Source organism: Homo sapiens, chromosome 18 (genome assembly GCF_000001405.40).
Source record: "Homo sapiens chromosome 18, GRCh38.p14 Primary Assembly".
In the NCBI taxonomy this organism is placed as follows: Eukaryota; Metazoa; Chordata; class Mammalia; order Primates; family Hominidae; genus Homo; species Homo sapiens.
Window position 1 is genome coordinate 12989448 of NC_000018.10, and position 21731 is coordinate 13011178.

General features: G+C 43.4%; 1 protein-coding gene across 24 annotated transcripts in view, besides 4 other annotated features; it reads left to right on the top strand.

Annotated features, from left to right (window-relative positions):
- Nucleotides 234-846: an enhancer, noted in NCBI's record as "H3K27ac-H3K4me1 hESC enhancer chr18:12989680-12990292 (GRCh37/hg19 assembly coordinates)". NCBI's record gives its function as "activates a minimal SCP1, AML or CMV promoter by ChIP-STARR-seq in primed H9 embryonic stem cells {active_cell/tissue: H9 hESC(primed)}" and the evidence as "EXISTENCE:reporter gene assay evidence [ECO:0000049][PMID:30033119]".
- Nucleotides 1237-1616: an enhancer, noted in NCBI's record as "active region_13112". NCBI's record gives its function as "activates an Ori minimal core promoter by ATAC-STARR-seq in GM12878 lymphoblastoid cells {active_cell/tissue: GM12878}" and the evidence as "EXISTENCE:reporter gene assay evidence [ECO:0000049][PMID:35858748]".
- Nucleotides 1915-21731, top strand: part of CEP192 (centrosomal protein 192) — a 133675-nt gene continuing 113858 nt past the window's right edge. For 23 of the 24 annotated variants that reach the window (XM_006722326.4, XM_005258107.4, XM_047437562.1 and 20 more), the window contains exons 1-4: nt 1915-1990; nt 9974-10141; nt 12010-12135; nt 19009-19184. In XM_006722326.4, the coding sequence (XP_006722389.1) occupies nt 9978-10141; nt 12010-12135; nt 19009-19184 (466 nt within the window). In that variant the 5' untranslated portion in view covers nt 1915-1990; nt 9974-9977. Of the gene's footprint in view, nt 1991-9973; nt 10142-12009; nt 12136-19008; nt 19185-21731 lie in introns of those variants that run through there. The other variant, XM_011525675.4, reaches the window with a different exon arrangement.
- Nucleotides 2097-2176: a silencer, noted in NCBI's record as "silent region_9326". NCBI's record gives its function as "represses an Ori minimal core promoter by ATAC-STARR-seq in GM12878 lymphoblastoid cells {active_cell/tissue: GM12878}" and the evidence as "EXISTENCE:reporter gene assay evidence [ECO:0000049][PMID:35858748]".
- Nucleotides 11097-11176: a silencer, noted in NCBI's record as "silent region_9327". NCBI's record gives its function as "represses an Ori minimal core promoter by ATAC-STARR-seq in GM12878 lymphoblastoid cells {active_cell/tissue: GM12878}" and the evidence as "EXISTENCE:reporter gene assay evidence [ECO:0000049][PMID:35858748]".

Here is a 21731-nt window from a genome sequence, read left to right on the forward strand (position 1 = left end):
CAGTAAGCCTCTGAGGCAAGCGCTTTAATTATCCCCACTTTACAGACAAGGAAACCGGCTGGTTAAAGCTACTTGCCCAAGGCTACACAGTTTGGAAGAGGGAGGTAGAGCCAGGATTCAGATCCAGGCAGCCTGGCGTCAGAGTCCAGGCTCTCCTGCTGCCGAGACTCTGAATCAGAGATCTCTGTTAATAGAGTCCTATCAGGTTACTGAGTGTTGTGGGGAGTGCTGTGGTGACTTGAGGATATTTATGGAGGAAGGACATTTATTAACAAGGATCTGGTGTGAGTGACAGTCCGGAACCTGTAGACACATTTAAGCAGTTCACCTCCAATGTGTGACCGCTTTGTAGAAAAAGAGGTTAAGAGAGGTCAGCTCTAGGGCTGAGCATTTGGCTTACTTTTTTGGGATTCAGAAAATCTTGAGATTTTCTGCATTTATCTTTGCTCACTGAGTGTGGACAAAGGTAGAATAAAGGTAATTACTCTTTGCAAATACCAAGGCTGCAGGGTTCCAAGAAGAGGTGTCGAACTGTGGAGATATCACTGAGTTTGACAATTAGGAGTCTATTCCTGATAAAGTTTTAAGGACCCAGCTAGACACCATGAAATGCGTCAAAATAAGGTGTAAAAAGTGGAAGCCTGGCTTCCTCTATGGAAAAAAAAGTGGAGACCATTAAGGGAAGGAAACAAGAATGGTCATTAGGTGATGAAACAGAATCAAGGAAGGGGTGTGTGTGGGTGTGTGGTTTGAGTGGTGTTTGTGTGTGGAGGGTGTGTGTGGTGTGTGGGTGATGTGTATGTGGGTGTGTGTTGTGTATGGATGTGTGTATACGTGTCACACACGTGTGTGTGGTGCATATGTGGGTGTGTGTGGTTTGTGGTGTGAGTGGTGTGTGTGGTGTATGGGTGTGTGGTGTGTGTGTTTGGGTAGAGAGGTGCTGCATTTTTGTAGGCAGAGAGAAGGAAACCAGTGGAGAGGATATCCAAGAATGACAGGTGAGCCATGTTTGCAGGAGGTAGAAAGTGGTCAAGTAAACAGACGTCTTTCCCCACCAAGTAACCTCAGGTCTAGGGACTTCTAAACTTTGCGTTTTCCCTCTTCTTTCCTCCAAGGTGCGCCGGACATCTTTCAGTAACTTGAACGAAGTTAAGGAGTTAGCTTTGGAAAAGAGGGACTCTTTTCCCTCTGTGACTATATGGAATAAATTTTGAGATAAGGGACCTTACTGAAAAAGACTGAGATACATTTTGAGTGAAAGGCATGGTCTCAGTGAAGTAGTTAAGGGCCTGTGCCGAGCAGATGGCGGTGATGGGTTTTGTGGCCTAAGAAGGATGGAGAAAAGTAGGAAGCAATCGAGACAAAGCCTACTCTGTCACAAAGAGGCGACTAGATGTGGCGAAATGTCATGAAACTTGGATCCCGAGGAATTAGCTGATTGAAGGTGAAACCTGACGCCTTTCAGCGCCTACCAACAGGAAAGGTCTGCATCTGCCCACGGAAGGACGAAACCTATCGGGGGGGATTTGTTGGCGGGGGATACTTCTTTGCGCATAGAGTGACTGGCGGTGCCCTGGAGACCCAAACTGAATAAAGTAAGCATTATTTTCAAATTCGCCAAGACCTTGAAGGCGGCGCCAACGGGAGCCGTCCCCCGGGTCCCACGCAGCGCAGAGCTCCATTTCCTCCTCCGGACTCGCAGGGCGCGCGGCTTCCTCGCTTCAAATCCAGGAACGCGCTGTCCCCACCAATCACCGGGCTTCTTCCCGCCCCATGTCTTCCCGCTGTCCAATCAAAAGCCAGCTCAGTCTCCTCCCCTTGCCTGGTGCCGCGAACAGACGTAAACCAGAGGCGGGCGCGGTACGGCCGTTCCGGGCTCCAGCCGGTGCGGGGGCCACGCGCACGCGCACTTGCAGTGCCCTGGGACACCTCTTCAGTCCGTGGACTTTCCCGCTGCACACTGCCCTCCGAAGTCGGGGACGCGGGCTCGGTGAGGGGGGACGCTGGTGCCTCGGCCTGCGCCTAGGCGGGAGGCAGACGCATGCACCTTTGGCCTACGTTTCGGCTGCCGGACCGACGGGACAGTGACGGTTGGGCCGGGTGGGGGCGCAGGCTGTGGGGCGGCCTCAGGGCGCGAGCAAGGGGACTGCCGCGCTTCCCGCGCCTCTGCGCCTGGCGCAGCCTCTGAGCTGAGCTCCGCCTGGTTGGGATTAATTGCACGCCTCTGTGTCATCGGGCTTTGGCCGGGCGTGATGAGACAGACTGTTAGGGGATCACGTCCTTCTTTCCTCCCCTCTTGTCTGGGGACTTCCACCTCTTGAGGGACAGGCCCTCTCCGTGCTACCCTCTGGAGTTTCTTGCAGTGTGCTTGTGAAGTGACCGGTGATGTTTCCTTTATGTGCCCTGTGATGGGCGGTTCTGTTCCTCCTTTTTGTTTAAAATTCTGACCCAGGAAGTAACCTTGTTAACTTAACTTAATGCCCTTGTCTTCCGTTTACTCACTTGATTTGGTTTCTGCTAGGTTGCGTTCATTTATTCCTAATAGTTTACCTACATTCCTTGCCTATGATTTCATTATCAACAGAACGTGAAATGAGACGAATGTTAATACACTCTACTTTTACTTTGCTGTTACTTTCAGAGTTTGTTTAGTAAAACATGAGGACCTCTTCAAGTCAGTCGTTTGGAGAACAGCTGTTTATATGACCATATTTCCATTTGCTCTTACTATTTTGAGGTCATTCGACTGGCGTTTTTACTGCTCCAAAATCAACTTTTTCTCCAAATTTCAGTTTTCTAGGCAAAAACGGCAAGCCTTGAACAATAATATACCAAATGCCTACCTAGTTTTAAAGTATATCTTAAAGTGCCAAGAGTAAATGATGAGTTTTGGGGAAGTTTGACTCGGCTTTGGGTTCCACGGCGTGTGCTTTTAAATGTGTTTAATTGTATACATAGACCTACGATTAATGACTATAGTCAGTAATCTTTTATGTACCTAGGAATGTAATTAGTGAGTCCAGATGTGAAATTTGAGGTCACTACTTTAAGGAAATAGCAAGAGAAATTGCAAATATAGCCACTCAGTTCAAATAGGATAGAAGAAAAATATTGTCTTCACTTGAGATGATGGAGGAGGGGTGGGTAATGCAATAATGTGAGAAATTAAAGGAAATTTCCTTTAGGAATGTGTTATGTCCATGAATGGTTTACAAGTGTAATCTTTTCTGGAGAAGAGACTAGGTATTAGGTTACATCTTGAGGAATCTTCCCGTGGGTTTTGTTACCTTTGCACCCTTAGCAAAGCTCTGTTGAAGCACTTAACACTATCGTAGTTGACAGGGATTGTCAGCTCCCTGAGGGGAGCTGCCTTATTTATCTTTGCATTCTTGGTGCCAAGTAGAGGGTTCTTCATGGTTTGTGTTTGATAATGAATGTTGCATGAATGACCTTTGCATAATTTCTGAGTTTTCTTTGGATTAGGCCCTTCTAAATAGGGACAACTGTTGAAGAGTTTTCTATAAATTTTAATAGTTTACATGTCTGTATATGAATGAATAACTTAGTAATTACAAGGCTAGACTTGGGGAGGCTAGTTGGGAGACTCGTGTGATAGTTCAGAATAAAAAGTGATGGGCAACGGGCATTAGGAATATAGAAGTGGGTCTCAGCTCCAGAAGTGTATTTGACGTTAGAAGCATTAGAATTTGGTGAGAGAGCAGGAGGGATCAGGATGGTCCTAGGTGTCAGGCTTGTATTGCCAGTTAATAGGGATGGATTTGGGTGAAGACTAAAGATAACGGCGGGAATGAATGGAGGAAAGGTAACAAGTTTGGTTTTGTATTTTGTATTGCATTCGGGGGTAAGGTAGATGTCAGAGAGCCATTTGGAAGTATGGTCGTTCCCTCAGGTTATCCATGGGATTGGTTCCAGGACCTGCCCTTGCCCCAGGATGCCAGAATCCTCTGGATGCTCAAGTTCCTTACATAGATTGGTGTAGTATTTACATATAACTGATGCATATGCTCCTGTATATTTATTTAAGACAGGGTCTCACTTTGTTGCCTAGGCTGGATTGCAGTGGCTATTCACATGCATGGTCATAGCTCACTGCAGCCTCAAACTTTTGGGCTCATGCTGTCCTTCCACCGTGGCCTCCTGAGTAGCTGGGACTCCAAGGCATGCACCACCAGGAGGTGGAATTAGTGCAGAGGAAAGAATACCCTGGGGCCAGACTTGCCTAGGTGGGAATCCTCTGGCCTCATTTGTGCTATGTGGACTGGAAACGTCTCTTAATTCTCTCTTTCAGCCTCAGTTTCCTCAATAATAGGGATGATGGCTACCTTACAAATTTGACATGGGGATTAGAAAAATGTATGTGAAATAATTAGCACATTACCTAATAATAGACACAGTATCAGCAAACTAGGGGTTATAGATTCTTTCTTAAAACTCGTTTTTTCAATTTGTATTTCCAGTTCTCTGTCAGGTATTGGGAATATGTGGATGAACAAGATAGACATTTCCCCAAGAAGCTGCTCTTCTAAATTTATAGGGGTTAAAGTTAAAGTAGAGTTTACCCACTGACTGAGAATGTTGTCATTCATTCGTTTCACAGATACTTACTGAGTACCTGCTGTGTGCTAGGCATTGTTCTAAGTGTTAAGGAAATAGTGATGGACAGATAGGCAAGGCCCCTGCTCTTAGGGAGAAATTATTTCATTGGAAGAAGACAGATAAATACAAGAATAAATAGTGATAAATGCTGAAGAAATTTAAATGGATGTGATTGACTGTGGCGCTGTTTGACTTAATAATAAGAGATAAACTTCTCTTAGAAGGTAACATATAAATTGAGGTGAACGTCAGGAAGGAGCTAGCTAGGCAAAGATCTGGGAGAAGAATATTCTAGACCTGTGGTAGGGGTGGGCTTTGGGGGTATTACAAGAATAGAAAATCTAGTATGTGGTGAATGAGCCTGAGAGGGTGGGAGAGAGTGACAGGCCTCATAGAGTTTTCAGGAGAGGCATGGCACTTGATTCATAGTTAATGGTCTTTTTGCTTGCTTCTTGGATAATTAATTGTAGGGTGGCAAGAATAAAAACATGGAAAAGGGTGAGGAGGCTTTTCAGTAGGGTAAGGTGGTAGTAATGGAGATAGGAAGATATAGACTATTTCAGGGTGTGTTTGGAACATAGACATGTTTTGCCCTCAGGAATGGACTACACCAGTAGATGTGTTTTGTTTGACAACAGTGTATTGAATTTAACTAGTTTTAGGTAAAGCCTGTAATTTCCAGCTGACCTCAGTCCTTATAATTCTGTTTTCTAACAATAGTTGTTCCTGAAGACATTTGAGTTGAGATCCCTAGTGTGTAAGAAGTAAATTGCATGATGCAAAGTCTGAGGTCAGAATCCTGGGTAACCCTAACATATGAGGAGCAAATAAAGGAAGAGGATGTCAGATGAGTTGTGAAAGTATGGATTATGGAGTATTCTTCTGAGATGCCTGGCCATGAAGGGAAGGTGAGAAGGTGGTGGCAGGACATGCAAATGAAAAATCAGGGCAGGTTGTTTCCTGCCTCCTCCATCCTAACATGGGAGGAATTTTTTTTTTTTTTTTTTTTTTTTTTGAGACGGAGTCTCGCTCTGTCGCCCAGGCTGGAGTACAGTGGCGCGATCTCGGCTCCCTGCAAGCTCTGCCTCCCGGATTCACGCCATTCTCCTGCCTCAGCCTCCTGAGTAGCTGGGACTACAGGCGCCCGCCACCTCGCCCGGCTAATTTTTTTTTTGTATTTTAGTAGAGACGGGGTTTCACCGTGTTAGCCAGGATGGTCTTGATCTCCTGACCTCGTGATCCGCCCGCCTCGGCCTCCCAAAGTGCTGGGATTACAGGCGTGAGCCACCACGCCCGGCCTCATGGGAGGATTTTGAACATGTTTATGGAAATCAAGAAGAGAGAATAGTTGGAAATATCAAAGAGAAGAAAATGCTGGGGCATGATCTGAGAGCAGAGTGCTTATATGATGGTGATGAATTTGCTGTATATTGACATAATTTGAAAATTTTTATTCATTCATTCACTCAAGTTTATTGAGCGTCTCGTGCCAGCACTGTTCTAGCTGGGAATGCAGTGGCAAACCAAATGGGCAAAGTTCCTGCCCTCATAGAGCTTACATTCTAATGTGGGGAGAAAAAGAGATAACAAGTGAGTTACATAGCATGCAGGTGGTGGTCAGTACTATAGAACAGAGAAAGCAGGGAAAGGAGGTTGGGAAGTGCCCTGTTCAAATCTGTAGGTTGAGGAGGCAAGGCCTGACAGCTAAGTGAACATTTGCACAAAGAACTGAAAGAAGTGAAGGTACAAAATGTGTGAATAGCTGGAGCATCAGGGGCTGGGCAGAGGTCAGAGCTAGGGTGGAGGTCCTGGAGCGGAGCTGGCTTAGCATGTTTCAGGAACAGCAGGGAGGTTAGGATGACTGGAATGGAGTGAGCAAGGGAGAAGAGTAGAGGAGACGAAGTCACAGATTATCTGGGCCCTGGTTGGCCATCTTAAAGACTGCCTTTTACTCTGAATAAGATGGGGAACCAGTGGAGGGAGGGTTTGAGCTAAGGAGTGAGGACGTTTCAGTAATGTTATAGGGTGACTTTCGTGTGTGGAGAGTAGACTAGGGGAGGCAGAGAGGAGGCCTGGAGACCAAAGGCTATTGCAGTGAGTGTCCAGGCAGGAAGTGGTGGTGGCCTGACCAAGGTCATAGCAGGGTTGGGGGGTAGGTTGGGGGGATGCAGCAAGGTCCTGGGCAGGTTGTTAATGTATAACTCTAGAGATTTGCATAGGGATTGCACGTGATGGGGTGTGAGAGGGATCTCAGAGATGACTACGGTTTTTGGCCTAAGCAGCTAGGTGTTGGAGTTGTCATTTTCGCTGGTGGGGAAGGCTGAAGGGCAGGCATTTCTTGAGGGGATGGGAATTAATTGGAATCAAGATTCAAATGTAGGTGCTTGTTAGACATCTAAGTGGAAGTGTTGTGGAGGCGGTTGAATACCTGAGGTTCGGGGAAAGGCCCAAGATGGAGGTGTACATTTTACGTGATATTTTAAGCTTTGAAATTGAAGGCAATCACCCAGAGAGGGTGAGTTGATGGAAGAAGTTGAAGATCAAGCCCTGGAGGCTTCCACTCTGTGGAGGTCTAGGAGATAAGGAGGAACTGGCCAAGGAGAAGGGAAAGCAGCAGCTTGGTGGAGTTGGAGGAGAACCAGACAGCTGTGTCTGAGAAATGAAGCCAAGAAAGTATTTCCCCAAGGAAGGAGTAATCACCTGAATGTTAGGCTACAGAAGAAGGACCGGAGGTAGATTATAGTATGCTACGGCTTGGCAACAGGGAGATCAGGGCTGATGCTGACAAGCATTTTTTTGGTGGTGTGGTGGGATGAAGGCCAGAGTGGGGTGCGTTCAGGAGAGGATGGGAGTGGAACTGGATGCCAGTCATGATTCCTCTGGAAGCCTGTGATAAAGGGAGCATGGATAGGTGTGGTGGCAGTTCAGGGGGATAATGGGGGTGTGAGGTAGAGGAAGGCTTTTTTTAAAAGGTGGGAGAAATAACAGCATGCCCAGCGTGGGAGGGCTTGCACAGACAGAAGACTCGATCATGTTATGGAAGGGGGCCGATTGGTAGAGTGGTTGTCAGTGCAGTGAGGGGTTGGGATCGAGTGCAAAGTGAAGAGGTGGGCTTCAGACAGGGGCATGGACACTTCATAAACTGTTGTGGGATAATTTAGGAATCAGACCGAGGGGTTGAGGAGGATATATTATTTAGGTGCACCGGCCCAGTCGGATTAACATCCAAAAAGTCTGAGCCCTGAACAAGTCTGAGCCCTGAACAAAGAGTTAAGTTACCTTTTAAGGATTTCGTGGGGCGGCAGGGGGGAATCTGTGCAGGAGGAAGCATATTACAGAAGCAAGAAACAAAGACAATTATTCAATTAATTGAGACATGCATTATATCATTTCTTACTTTCCAAGGAAAAAATGTGTTTTATGGCTTGAGTTTATCTGTCTAGTGACCTTGCAGCTGCACAGCTAGAGAAACAGGGTCTTCACAATGCCTGGGAAAGGAGGAGAGATAAGGCTTACTAGCCACAGAAAAACAGGCAGATAATTTTTAAAGGGCTCCAGCTCTTTCTCTTTCTCAGGGGGAATTGGGTTTTCTTACATAGAACTGAGTTTCTGCTTACACATTCTTTAATTTCTTTTAACTCCTATTCCAAAACAAGTAAGTTCTTCTTATTTTTGGGGGGGATAGAGTCTCGCTCCATCACCCAGGCTGAAGTACAGGGGCGCAATCTCGGCTCACTGCAACCTCCACCTCGCAGATTTAGGTGATTCTCCTGCCTTAGCCTCCCAAATAGCTGGGATTACAGGTGCCCGCCATGACGCCCAGCTAGTTTTTGTATTTTTAGTAGAGACGAGGTTTTACCACGTTGGCCAGGCTGGTCTTGAACTCCTGAACTCAAGTGATTCGCCTGCCTCAGCCTCCCAAAATGCTGGGATTACAGACATGAGCCATCGCACCTGGCCTCATAATCTCTTTAGTGGTCATAAAACTTCTTCTTTTTCTTTTTATATTTTATAATTAGTCCATACTGTCTAAAATCTATGCTTTAATCCAATTTGTCATTGATCCTAGTATACTCCTTTATTACTGAAGTAGCTCTTTGAATAGTCTTCCAGGTTTTTAAGTCCTCTCCCTTCCTGTATAATAGGTTGATTGTGTCAGTTCTTTGTTGGTTGCAGAGTACAGTTCAAACTTTCCAACACACCGTTTCAGACTTTTAGAATCTGGCTCCATTCTGTTATTCTAGCTTCGTTTACTGTGTTATTTTGTTCACCTGCTGCCAAAATGCATTGGAGTATTTGCTACTGCCAGCATAGACCTAGCACTTAGAGTGGATTTTCGAGTCAGACCTGGGTTTGAATCTTACTAATTGCAACCTTGGGAAAATTGAGCTAATTTAGTCTCTCAGTTTGTTTCTTCACCTGTAAAATGGGATAATACCTACATTGTAAGATTTTCTGTGGATTCAGTGAGCTAAGTTAGTAGATATGCAATAAAATTTAATTCTTTTCCTTCTTGGCTCATGTTTATCATCCTAAATAAACTCTCTCATCCCATACTCTGCCTATAAAAGTTCTTCTCAGTCTTCAAGGCGCATTGCCAATATCCTCTCATTTTTTTTAGCTTTTCCTGATTATTTATCTTTTTATCCTTCTGCCATTATTTCCTTTACTGATTTCCATGCAGTGTGTATATGATACGTACTCTGAAAAATTGTTGAGACTAGCTAACATCTTCAGAGCACCGTGGTCAGGTTCTCTAGTAATAGCATAGGTTTTGTGCTGGTGTTTTCCAGATTTAGTCATTTGGGTACCCCTTTTACCACTTTTACCTTGTCCATGTGCCAACTATACTTTAACTGAAAATTGTTCTTTGAATGGGTTCACTTTTTAATTCAGTCTTAACAACACTGAGATCCGGGCTAGATTTTTGCTGGTTGTACTTTTTCTGTTCCGTATTAGAATGAGTATGTAACTACCAAACTTTTAAATATGTCCTAAAATCATTTGTATATACCATCAGTGTTATGCCATCTTTGCTTTCTTTACTAGATAAGTTTGTAGTAATTCATTTTCCTAGCTACACCAAGCAAAGGGCAAATTAAAATGTGTTGTATTGCATTATTATGTTAATTATAAGAAGGTAAGTTTAATGTTTAAGGTTTCTATTCTCATCTATAAAGTAGCAAAGTATTCTGAGATTTATTTTACCTCAGACTATTTGCCTATTTCCCCCTTACTAATGCTAAAAAAAGGATTTTTTTCCTAAGATTTATTAGTTTTCTAAGACAATGCTTTTAATCATTTAAAAACATTTTATAGTAATATGTGACCTATAGAAATACTTTTGTTATTGCAGTGAGATGGAAGATTTTCGAGGTATAGCAGAAGAATCATTTCCAAGCTTTCTCACCAATTCATTATTTGGTAACAGTGGGATTTTGGAAAATGTCACTCTTTCTTCAAATCTTGGCTTGCCTGTTGCTGTTTCTACACTTGCTAGGGATAGATCCAGCACTGATAACAGGTAAGATTTGTTTGAGCAGATTTTTTTCCAGGTCCATAAAGCCTATAGCATGCTGATATTTATGTTCTGTTTCTCAGTCAAGCTTGAGCTTTTTGTTTTATCTATGAGGGGGATGGCCAAATATGTGAAATGAATATAGAAAAGACAGAATTTACTGTCTTTTTCCCCATTGCTTTGCCTTTTCAGTGGGTAGGTTTGGGTGGGTTTGGGATTTGAGCACCAGTTACCTATTTCGGTCTATTTTTTTTTTTTTTTTTTGTCTATAGTGTTTTGGATTTGTATTAGTTCAGTCACACTAATGGCTAGTAATGTAAAACAAGTTGTGTTAGCGAAGTTCAAAGGCAAATTAATCATAAGGTTATAGGAGTACCTCTTGACATCAAGGGGAGGAGTGCAGAGCTTTGCTGCAAGAAGGGACAGGAATTGAGATTTAGGAAGCCATCAGGACTTGGGTTTTTGTCATCCCACTCTATTTCTCTCTGTATAACTCATTGTCTTCTCTCTTTTTTTTTTTTTTTTTTTTTTTTTTTGCTAATTAAAAAAATATTTTATAGAGATAGGGTCTTGCTGTGTTAGCTAGGCTATTCTTGAACTCTTGGGCTCAAGTGATCCTCCTGCCTCAACTTCCCAAAGTGTTGGTATTACACAGGTGTGAGCTACCATACCTGGCCTCTGCTCTTTTTTAATACACTGGTTTTATTTGCTTTTCTGTTCATTTTACAGAATATGGCAACACAGATTCTCAAAAGACATCTATGAATTACATTTCTAGCTACACAAGGAGACTACTGAACTGTCTCTTGATATCTCATGAGTTTCTGGTCCATCTTAGGTTAGGTGTCTGTTCCAAATACAGTCACCTGTGACTAGAGTTTTGGGTCATTGGATCTATTTAGAGGTATGACAGAGCCTCACTTTTTAATTCATTTCAGCCAGGTTTACTCTTTACTGGACTTGTATGGCTGTCTTTCTCTTTCTCTTCCAGCTTTCAATCTGTCCTAGGTTTCTGAGGTAACTTGGCTCTTGTCATTCTAGTAACTTTCAGCTCCTGAAGTCAAGTTTCTCTTTCTTAGAAACTCAACCAGGCTGGGCGTGGTGGCTCATGCCTGTAATCCCAGCACTTTGGGAGGCCAAGGCGGGCAGATCACCTGAGTTCAGGAGTTCGAGACCAGCCTGGCCAACATGGCAAAACCCTGTTTACTAAAAATACAAACATTAGCCAGGCGTGATGGCGCACGCCTCTAATCCCAGCTACTCGGGAGGCTGAGACAGGAGAATCGCTTGAACCCGGAAGGCAGAGATTGCAGTGACCTGAGATTGGGCCACTGCACTCCAGCCTGGACGACAGAGGGAGACTCTGTCTCAAGAAAAACCCCCAAAACTCAACCAGCTTTTATTTTCTTTACTTTTAAAATTTCTGTTTTATTACCAGATTGATGTTTGGTTAAATACACCTTGTTTTGTATCTTCAACTGGATTGTGTATAGTTTACACATCCATTACATGTAGGGTCTTGCATAATATATAAAGTTTGCCTATGCTTAAACTGGCCACTTTCTTGTCTTTTCTCAACCTAAACATTTAGTGAGGAGCACCATCTTGACCTTTGGGCTGAAGGGGTTGTATTAACACTCTCAGCTCTTTTAGCTTTAAGATTTTTGTGACTGTATTGTTGAATACAGATAAACTCCCTATTGCCAAGCCACAGGTTTCCGTGCTTTGCACAGAGGATGATGGTTTGAAATACAGGGGCCCTATTTGTTTTTACCCCGGTGGTTGGTTTTACTGTCACGCAGCCCTATGTCATGATGACATTTAAATATGTGTAATTTAATTCTTAACAATTAAAACAAATTTTTTTTGTATAGGTATCCTGATATCCAGGCATCTTACTTAGTAGAAGGGAGATTTTCAGTTCCATCCGGGTCATCTCCCGGAAGCCAGAGTGATGCTGAACCAAGAGAGAGGTTACAGCTTAGCTTCCAGGATGATGAGTAAGTTCATACCTTCATTTGCTTGTACTGTGTTAAAAGTGGGTCTTACGCAGTCTTGTGGAAAATGACAATGTGATTGTGTATGTAATTAATTCTGATTAATTCTAAGAATCTTGAAGAGTTTTCTTTTATTTTGAGGCGGAGTTTCACTCACTCCATTGCCCAGGCTATAGTGCAATGGTGTGATCTCAGCTCACTGCAACCTCTGCCTCCCTGGTTCAAGTGATTCTCCTGCCTCAGCCTCCTGAGTAGCTGGGATTACAGGCAGGTGCCACCAAGCCCAGCTAATTGTTTTTGTATTTTTAGTAGAGATGGGGTTTCACCACATTGGCCAGGCTGGTCTCAAACTCCTGACCTCAAGTGAACCGCCCCACCCGCGTTGGCCTCCCAAAGTGCTGGGATTAGAATTGTAGGCGTGAGCCACCGCGCCCGGCCAAGAGTTTTCTTTATGCATTTTAATCACGTTTAGTCTTTCAAAACATTTTTTTTTAGATTCTAAAAGTAACGTGCTTTTGAAAAAATAGAGAATATAGAAAATTATTTGGAAGACAGTAAAGGCCTGTAATCCCACTAACTAGAGAACAGCCATTGAGTACATTTTTATTTGTAGTCTTCCATACTATTTTGTATGTGCATTTATGCCTTTAAATCTTCTTTTTACTTCTAATATGAGGCTATAGAAAAAGAAAAATGAAAATAAATTTTTTTTTTTACAAAATAAGATTAAGCTCTTATTCTATTACACAAAAAATTAGATGCAGTATTATGTTCAGTTTTCAATTACAATTAATATGAATCTGTGTCATAATGTTAATGACTATACTCAGGTCTGTGTTGGTCATTTAGATTATTGCAGTTTTGCTATTATAAAGGTAATGAACTTCCCTACATGTACATTTATATATACATTTTTCGCACCTAGGATATTATTAAGATTTCTAGGGTTTAAATTGCTGAGGTAAAAATAGTTTATTTTAAAGACCATTACAAATTAACACATTGCTCTTTAGAAAACTTGTACCAGTTTATTCTGAATGCCGACTTCTCCCAGCCCTGCCCAGCATTTGATGGTGCTATTTTTAATCTTTGATTTTTACAGGTAAAAATAATTTATATAATACATATGTATATATGCATGAAAGAAAGTCTGGAAGTCTAAAAAACCAAAATGGGAATGGTGGTATTATAGACAATCTTGTTTTCTGTGTTTAAATTTGTATTTGCGTATTTATGGGATTGAACCTACTTTAATGTCTATTCATTACTTATATTTATGTTGTGAATTGCCTCTTGATAGCCTTTATATATAAGTGCTTTCTTTATATTAAAGATGTTAACCCTTGTGTATTCATTCCTTCAGTGTGTAATTTTGACTGAGTGCCTACTGTGTGCCACACACTTTTCCAGGTGGTTAGGAAATACCAGTGACTAAAACAGATGTTAAACAAGACACTAAAATAGGCTAATTTTATAGTATATTGAAAGGGAAAAGTGCTAGAAAAAAATAGAATATAATAAGGAGGGTTATTAGGTAGGCTGAAGGCAGTGGTCAGTATGGGTCTCATTATGGACATAAGATATGAGCCAAGGGCATGATGGCTCTTGCCTGTAATCCCAACACTTTGGAAGCCTAAGGCAGGTAGATCGCCTGAGGTCAGGAGTTCGAGACCAGCCTGGCCAACATGGTGAAATCCCATCTCTACCAAAAACACAAAAATTAGCCAAGCATAATGGCATGTGGCTGTAATCCTAGCTACTTGGGAGGCTGCAGCAGGAGAATTGCTTGAACCTGGGAGGTGGAGGTTGCAATGAGCCGAGATCACGCCACTGCACTCCAGCCTGGGCAACAGAGTGAGACTCTGTCTCAAGAAAAAAAAAAAAAAAAAAAAAGAAGATATGAGCCAAGACTTGAGGGAGGGAGTTAACTATGTGGACGCCAGGGGGAAGCAGACTTCAGGCCAAAGGTGCGGCCAGCCTGAAGGAACTAAGGCAGGAGAGTAGCCCATGTGGTTCACAGAGCACCAGGGAGGCTGGGGAGGTGGTGAGCAGGACCTTGACTCTGACTCAGAGATACGGGAAGCCACTAGAGGGCTCCATCTGAATTGTGTTTTAAAAGTCCCACCCTGAGAATCACTTGAGCCCAGGAGATCCAGGCTGCAGTGTGCCGTAATTGCACCACTGCACTCTAGTCTGGGTGACAGAGTGAGACCCTATCTCAAAAAAAGGCCCACTCTCGCGGTTATGTGGAAAAGAGACTGTAGGAGGCGAGAGTGGGAGCAGCATGGGCACATTGTCTGGGAGTGAGGCAGATGGAAGAGAGCGAACAGGCGTGGTCCTCAGGATGCTTCACAGTGAGAAGCTGGGGACAGGAGGAATCAACAGCGAGATTAAGAGTTAGTGATCAGAGGAAGGAGAAAACAAGCATCCTGGAAGCCATGTCAAGAGCATGTATAAAAGAAGAGTTACCTAACTATGTCAAATAAAATGAGGGCAAAGAATTGACCCTTGGAATTAGCATAGATTAGGTCATTGGTAACCCCAATAAGTAGTTTGGTGTAAGTAGGGACAGGCACCATGGCCTACTCAGAATGAGTTTCAGAGAGAACAGGAGTTACTGTTTGAGGCAGTAGACAGCTTGTGGAGTTTTGCTGTGAAAGGGAGCAGAGAAACGAGGTTATGACAGCTGGATGGTTGTAGTGGGTGAAGAGAAGTTTCACTTTTTTTTTTTGTGGTGGGAGAAGTTGCTGCATGTTTGCGTGATAATAGGAATAATCTCCTGGAAAGGGTAAAACTTGCTGATGTAGAAAGGGAAGAGAATTGCTGCAGCAACGTCTGTGTCAGTAAGAGAGGGTAGGCCACAATGTGCAGTGCGGGGAGTGGCTTTAGCTGGGTAGGACTGCGGACAGTTCCCCTGCGGGAACAGGTGGGAGGACGGCCTGGGTGGGTGCATGTAGTGGTAAGAATCTGTGGAAGTTACCTTTTCAGTGCTTCAGGCTGAAAGTAGGGTTAGTGAAGTAGGAAGCATAGTCATCAAGTCAGCGTGAGGGTGGAGGAGGAGGAGTTGGTGGTTTAAAAAAAGGATGTAAAATTATCACATGGGACCACAGGAAAATGAATGGACAGAGTTGAAATGTTAGGATTCCTGGACAACATCAAGGGCCCAACTTGAGGGCCGTGGGCGTGACTGTTGAGGGTGATTGTGATGTTTCCCCAGCCACATTGAGCTGTAGGAGTGCAGGTGAAGAGGAGGCAGAGAATTGGATTTAACCAGGGTTGTAGTTTATAAAGGGAGTGAGGGACAAGGTTGCTGAGGATGTAAGATTGGCCATGTAAGATTGGCTTTAGGTTAAGGAGGAGGAGAGGGTATGGACAGGGGCAGGGAGAGTGATGTGGTGGTACAGATGGGTTGGAGGTGCAGGTGGGGTTAGCATCATATAGTTGTGGTACTAGAGGCAAGAGGGGTAGTAGGTGATTCAAAGCTGTGAGGCTCTAGGGAGAGCGACCTGGAAGTGGCACTGAGGGCAAGAAGGGCGTATATATTCCATCTCCACACCAGGTGATGATGCCACGGCTGTGGGAGAGATGAGGGTCCCCACTTGTCAGAGCTTGGGGGTAGCAATGTCCTCACAGGCTATTCAGGCTTTCATTAAAGTAGTAAGGTGAAAGGAATGTTCAGAGAAGAGATTCAGGAATGGCAGATCTTGTCAACCCAGCTCTGTAAATTATAGAAGGCACAGTAGAAGGGTTTTGTTTGTTGGGGAGTAGAAGGGCTGTGCAGTCTTAAGGGGCTTGGAGTGCCAGCAGTGAGGCATCCTGGGCTGCTTTTAGGAGCTGAAAATCAGTAAAGGGCATTGTGAAGTTAGTCCGACTCACCTGTTGCTGTGAGGAAACTGCAAATGTCAGGGATGGGAGGGCATCTTGAGGGTATCCTCTTGACTCTTGCTGGAGGCCAGGAGCTCTGGAAACTGGTCTTGTTGGTCCTTGTTGATGGAAGACAGGAGGCCTGGGGAGGTGGAGTCTTAGACTCAGTGCCTGGGGAGAGGTAAGTGCTTAGAGCTAGCTCTTGACTCTTGAATAGTCTGAAGCCCTGAGTTGCTGGTCTGAGTATAGGGCTTCCTTGGACACTATACTGGAGGGTCAGCAGCCTGGAGAGGCATGGCCTCAGTCTCCTGGTGAGGGATGGCTTCTTTGACCCCTTCTTGGGGAGGAGGGAATTTGTGTTTCAAAATGTCTTTATTCTAATCTTGGAATAAATTAATACTTTAGCTGAGTACAGAATTTTAGGATGAAAATAAATTTTCACACAATTTTGAAGATATTGCTACATTGTACATGAAGTCTGGTATAATCTTGATAGTTGGTTTTTTATCTGAACTATGTTTTCTCTCTGGAAATTTTAGAATCCCGTCTGAGTCCCTTGTGGGTGGGGCTATTTTCCCCCATTCACTGAATTCTAATTGGCATTGGTTTGGAGATCAGTTCTGGATAATTATGGTTTTTCTTCTAGTTTTTCCTTTTCTTTTTCCAGAACTACTGTTTTGGATTGCCTGGGTTGTTCTATATCTACTTTTTTTTTCCTTTTTTTCTGTTTTAGTGCAAAAAGACATCGTTCTAGGTAAGTTTCTTTTTTTCTCATGCTCATTAAATCATTTGGCAATCATAATTTTAATCATGAGAGCTCTTTTTTTGACCTTTTTTTTTAATGGGCCCTTTTTGTGGATGTACACTTGACCCTTGAACAACCCGAGTTTGGACTGTGTGGTTCCACTTATAAGCAGATTTCTTTCAACCAAACGTGGATGGAAAATACAGTATTCATGGATGTGAAACCCGAGTGTAGTCAGTGCTAACTGTAGGACTTGAATATTGCATATTTTGGTACATGCAGGGGTCCCGGAACCAGTCCCCCATGTATACTGAGGGTTGACTGTAACAGCTACATGGATACTTCTGAAGATTCTGATTAGAAATTTTGAAAGTTCTGTAAACTGTTCCTTTTCTCCGGGGCTGCTTGCATAGTTTGTTCATTTTTATTTTTGTCTCTTGAACTGCTCCTTTTTTTCTTGTCTGATTTGTGGCTGTCTTCTAGGCTGCCTAGTGTGGGCATCCTTATCTGTTGTGTATGTAGCTCTTATTTCTCATTGGCTTCCACACAAGAGGGACGTTGTTCCTGGCCATTTACTGTAGAGTGTGCAGGTTGGAGTCTTCAATTTTATGCCAGATGTTTAATGCTTTCTTCTGGGCCGCTGTAACTGCCATCGCTTCGTTCTCCACAGGCATTTTCTGTGCCTTGATTGCAGGCAAGCCCTTCCCTCCCCGTTGTCAGGTGTTCACTGTCGTGTGTGCATGGCTGTTGTCTCTGGAGTGGGAAAGAAGGGTGGGTGCTCCTGCCATGCTTCATGCCGGGCTTTCCGTCCCCACTCTCCTGCCCTCCCCGACTCCCTTCTGCCCTCTTTCTGACTGTAGTCAAGGAACATTTTTGTGTTTCTCCCTGGCAGATTTGTTTCCTTTTCTGCTTCCGGGCCCTTCTGTTCTTGGATTGTGGCTTTCTCTCCCCCTGCACACCCCATCTGCTTTTCAGATTCCAGAATCTGGGGTAAGCGTGGGTTAGGACTGGTAGTTCTTACCCAGATTGCTTCACTTTTATAGATTTCCTTACTGTCATTTTATTGGACACTTGGAAGTTGCTCTTGCCTCTTTAACTTGAAACTTATGACTTAGTTTGAAAATTTTTTTTGAGCTAATAAAAATATGGGATAGCTGTCGTTTTGAGGAAGTAGCATTTTTAGAGAGATGGTGGTGAATGTCGAGTGCCCTGCTCTCAACTGTCCCTGTCACTCTAAAGTTCTGGTGGTCATACTACATGCTTTTCTCAGGGAGGGCTTTAAACATGGAAATTGACCTAACTGTCCTGACTTGTTTATTTATTTCCTGTCACCATCTTGCTCCCCCACCTCTTTTCCTTTCTGTCCTTGCTACCTCTTGACTTTGTAACTATGTATAGTCTTTCCACCTATGCCTTTCCTTTCCTGTACTCAATGAAATTTTCCTGTACCTACCCATGAGTGCACCTTTGGCTTAAGCTAGTGACTTTTTATGTACTACAGCCCCAGTAAAGAGATGGAGAAACTGGGAAGTAAATTGTAGTTAGGGTTGGAGAGTTGCCTCAGGCATGAAAGGTTGGGATTTGAGAAATATGGAAGGACTTTTAAAAAAAAATCCATCCTGGCCAAATTTGAGTCTGGCTCTAGGTATCAGTTTGTCATGTAATGAATTTGTTGCATTTAGAGGCTTTTTCCTGAAGTTCCGTTCCCACCCCTCTCTTTCTGTGGTGAGCTGCTCTAGACCCAAGAGCTTTTGGAGTAGGGTGGGAGGAACATTGCCTGTAAGAAAAATACTTTCATCCACACAGAAAACAGCAGAGGTAGAAAGAAAGATAAGGACAAGAACTAGGACTAGGGATAAAAGTAAAAACGATTGAAACCTTTATTAATTCAGAGATTTGGCTATTTTGGCAAATATGCCAATATCCTTTAAGTCTGCAGATTTTAGAAAGCTGAATTATGTAGATTGGTAGTTTCAAGGATACTTATTTTGGAAGTAAAAAAACCACTTTTTGCTGCTTGAAAGAGTAGCAGTATGACGTTCTTTGATTTTGGTAGACTGTATCACTGGACCCAAAATGTTGGTTCAGTCCCCAGAATACAGTGCAGTGTTAGCAGTTGTAGTTTTCTGGCTAGACTCAAATGTTTCTTTTTATTGCTTCCATTTTTTCTTTTTAAGAGGTAAAATACATAACTGATTAATAAATATTTTGTAGATTTACCCAAGGTAACTAACATTTTATCATTCTTCTGTTTCCTAATAAAAAAGTTCTATCTCTAGGAAAAAGAGCTATGTGGAAAGTCAACGTTTGTCAAATGCTCTCAGCAAACAGTCAGCTTTACAAATGGAGACAGCAGGACCAGAAGAGGAGCCAGCCGGAGCTACAGAATCCTTGCAGGGCCAAGATCTCTTCAACAGGGCTTCACCACTGGAACAAGCACAAGGTACTGAACTATTTGAAATTATTTCTTAATGCATATGTTTTAATTTCCTTTTTCATTTCCTTATCTTTGGATTTTTTTTTTTTTTTTTTGAGGCAGGGTCGCACTCCTGTCGCCCAGGCTGGAGTGCAGTGGCGTGATCACAGCTCACTGCAGCCTCAACTTCCTGGGCTGCTCAACCTATCTTCCCATCTCAGCCTCCTTAGTAGCTGGGTCTACAGGCACACACCACCATGCTAGGCTAACTTTTTGTGTTTTTAATAGAGACAGGGTTTCGCCATGTTGCCCAGGCTGGGCTCGAACGCCTGGACTCAAATGATCTGCTGTGCCTTGGCCTGCCAGAATGCTGGGATTATGGGCCTAAGCCACTGTGCCTGGCCTTTTTGTTTTTTTTTTTTTTTTTGCTTAATTTTGAGATGGGTTCTAGCTGTGTTGCCCAGGCTGGTCATGAACTCCTGGGCTCAAGCAATTCACCCTCCTCAGCTTCTCGAGTAGCTGGGACTGGATGCATGCATCGTCACTCCTGGCTTCGATGTATTCATCTTGTACTATCATACCATGAACTGAAAATGCTTTGGTTTGCATTGTACCTATTAATATCATATTTACAGTACTTTTATAGGAAAGGTCTCCTCTTAACCTTGTTGACTCATTTAAGCTGAAATTCTCTTTGCTTTGGAAACCATGCTGTCGGATGGCCACAGCATACTTTATATTCAAGACAAGCCTATTTTTAGTGCATCTTCCACTTTTCTCCCACTAATTAATTTATATTCTTATCGAGAGTCAATTTTGTTTCTAAGCCTATTTTTTTTATAAAACTGATGAATTATAAGTTCTAAAAGAAATTACTGTTTCTAAGAAAACTAGGTTGAATGCATTGGAAATACTCAAGGATAAGTCATTTGATAAATTGCCCTCGGGCCAGGCATGGTGGCTTACGCCTGTAATCTCAACACTTTGGGAGGCTGAGGTGGGCAGATCACCTGAGGTCAGAAGTTCAAGACTAGCCTGGCCAACATGGCGAAACCCTGTCTCTCCTAAAAATACAAAAATTAGCCAGACATCATGGTGGCTACCTGTAATCCCAGCTACCCGGGAGGCTGAGGCAGGAGAATCGCTTGAACCCGGGAGGCGGAGATTGCAGCAAGCCGAGATCGTGCCACTGTACTCCAGCCTGGGTGACAGTGTAAGCCTTCGTCTCAAAAAGAAAAATTGCTCTCAAATTAGATGTGGAGAAGAAACTACAAAAATATGGGGGGTCAGGCACTGTGGCTTATGCCTGTAATTCCTGCTGAGGTGGGTGAATGGCTTGAGCCCAGGAGTTCAATATCAGCCTGGGCAACAAGGTGAAACTCTGTCTGTACAAAAAATACAAAAATTAGCAGGGTATAGTGCTGTGCGCCTTTAGTCCCAGCTACTTGGGAGGCTGAGGTGGGATTGCTTAAGCCCAGGCGGTCAAGGTGATCATGCCATTGCACTCCAGCCTGGGAGACAGACCCAGACCCTATCTCAAAAATAAATAAATAAATAAAAATATAGGGAAAGTTGTTTAAAAAAATCATAGGCTTCTGCTGTCTGATTCCTCTTAAGTACTCCACATTCACTTTCTTTTATCAAAGAAATCAAAGCTGGAAATTGAAAAGTACATTCTATGCACTTATATAGTGTGGTATTCTGTAACTCCAAACTAGTTCAGTACTCAAAAGGACTTGCCTGATTATATGTTGTAAGATTGATGAATGAGTACACATTATATGTTAGAAAAATTTTAAGGGAGGTTTGTATTTCTCTTGATGAAAAATGTTATATATATGAAAGAAAAGAGTGGTATTATCACTCAAATAAGCAATAAAAGAAAAAAATAGATGAATTGGATTTCAGAATTAAAAACTTTTATGCTTCAAAAGACACTATCAAGAAAGGAAAAAGACGGGGCCGGGCACGGTGGCTCACACCGGTAATCTCAGCACTTTGGGTGGCCAAGGCGGGCGGATCACCTGAGTCTGGGAGTTCAAGACCAGCCTGACCAACATGGAGAAACCCCGTCTCTACTAAAAATACAAAATTAGCCGGGCATGGTGGCACATGCCTTTAATCCCAGCTACGTGGGAGGCTGAGGCAGGAGAATCGCTTGAACCTGGTAGGTGGAGGTTGCGGTGAGCCGAGATCGCGCCATTGCACTCCAGCCTGGGTAATAAGAGCGAAACTCCATCTCAAAAAGAAAAAAAAAAGTTGTACAAATGGCCAGTAAACACATGAAAATATACCCAGTATCATTAGACATCCAGGAAATGCAATTCAAAACCACAATGAGGCTGGGCACAATGGTTCATGCCTGTAATCCCAGCACTTTGGGAGGCCGAGGTGAGCGGATCATTTGAGGTCAGGAGTTCGAGACCAGCCTGGCCAACATGGTGAACCCCTGCCTCTACTAAAACTACAAAAATTAGCTGGGCGTGGTGGCGGGCGCCTGTAGTCCCAGCTACTTGGGGGGCTGAGGCGGGAGAATCACTTGAACCTGGGAGGTGGAGGTTGCAGTGAGCCGAG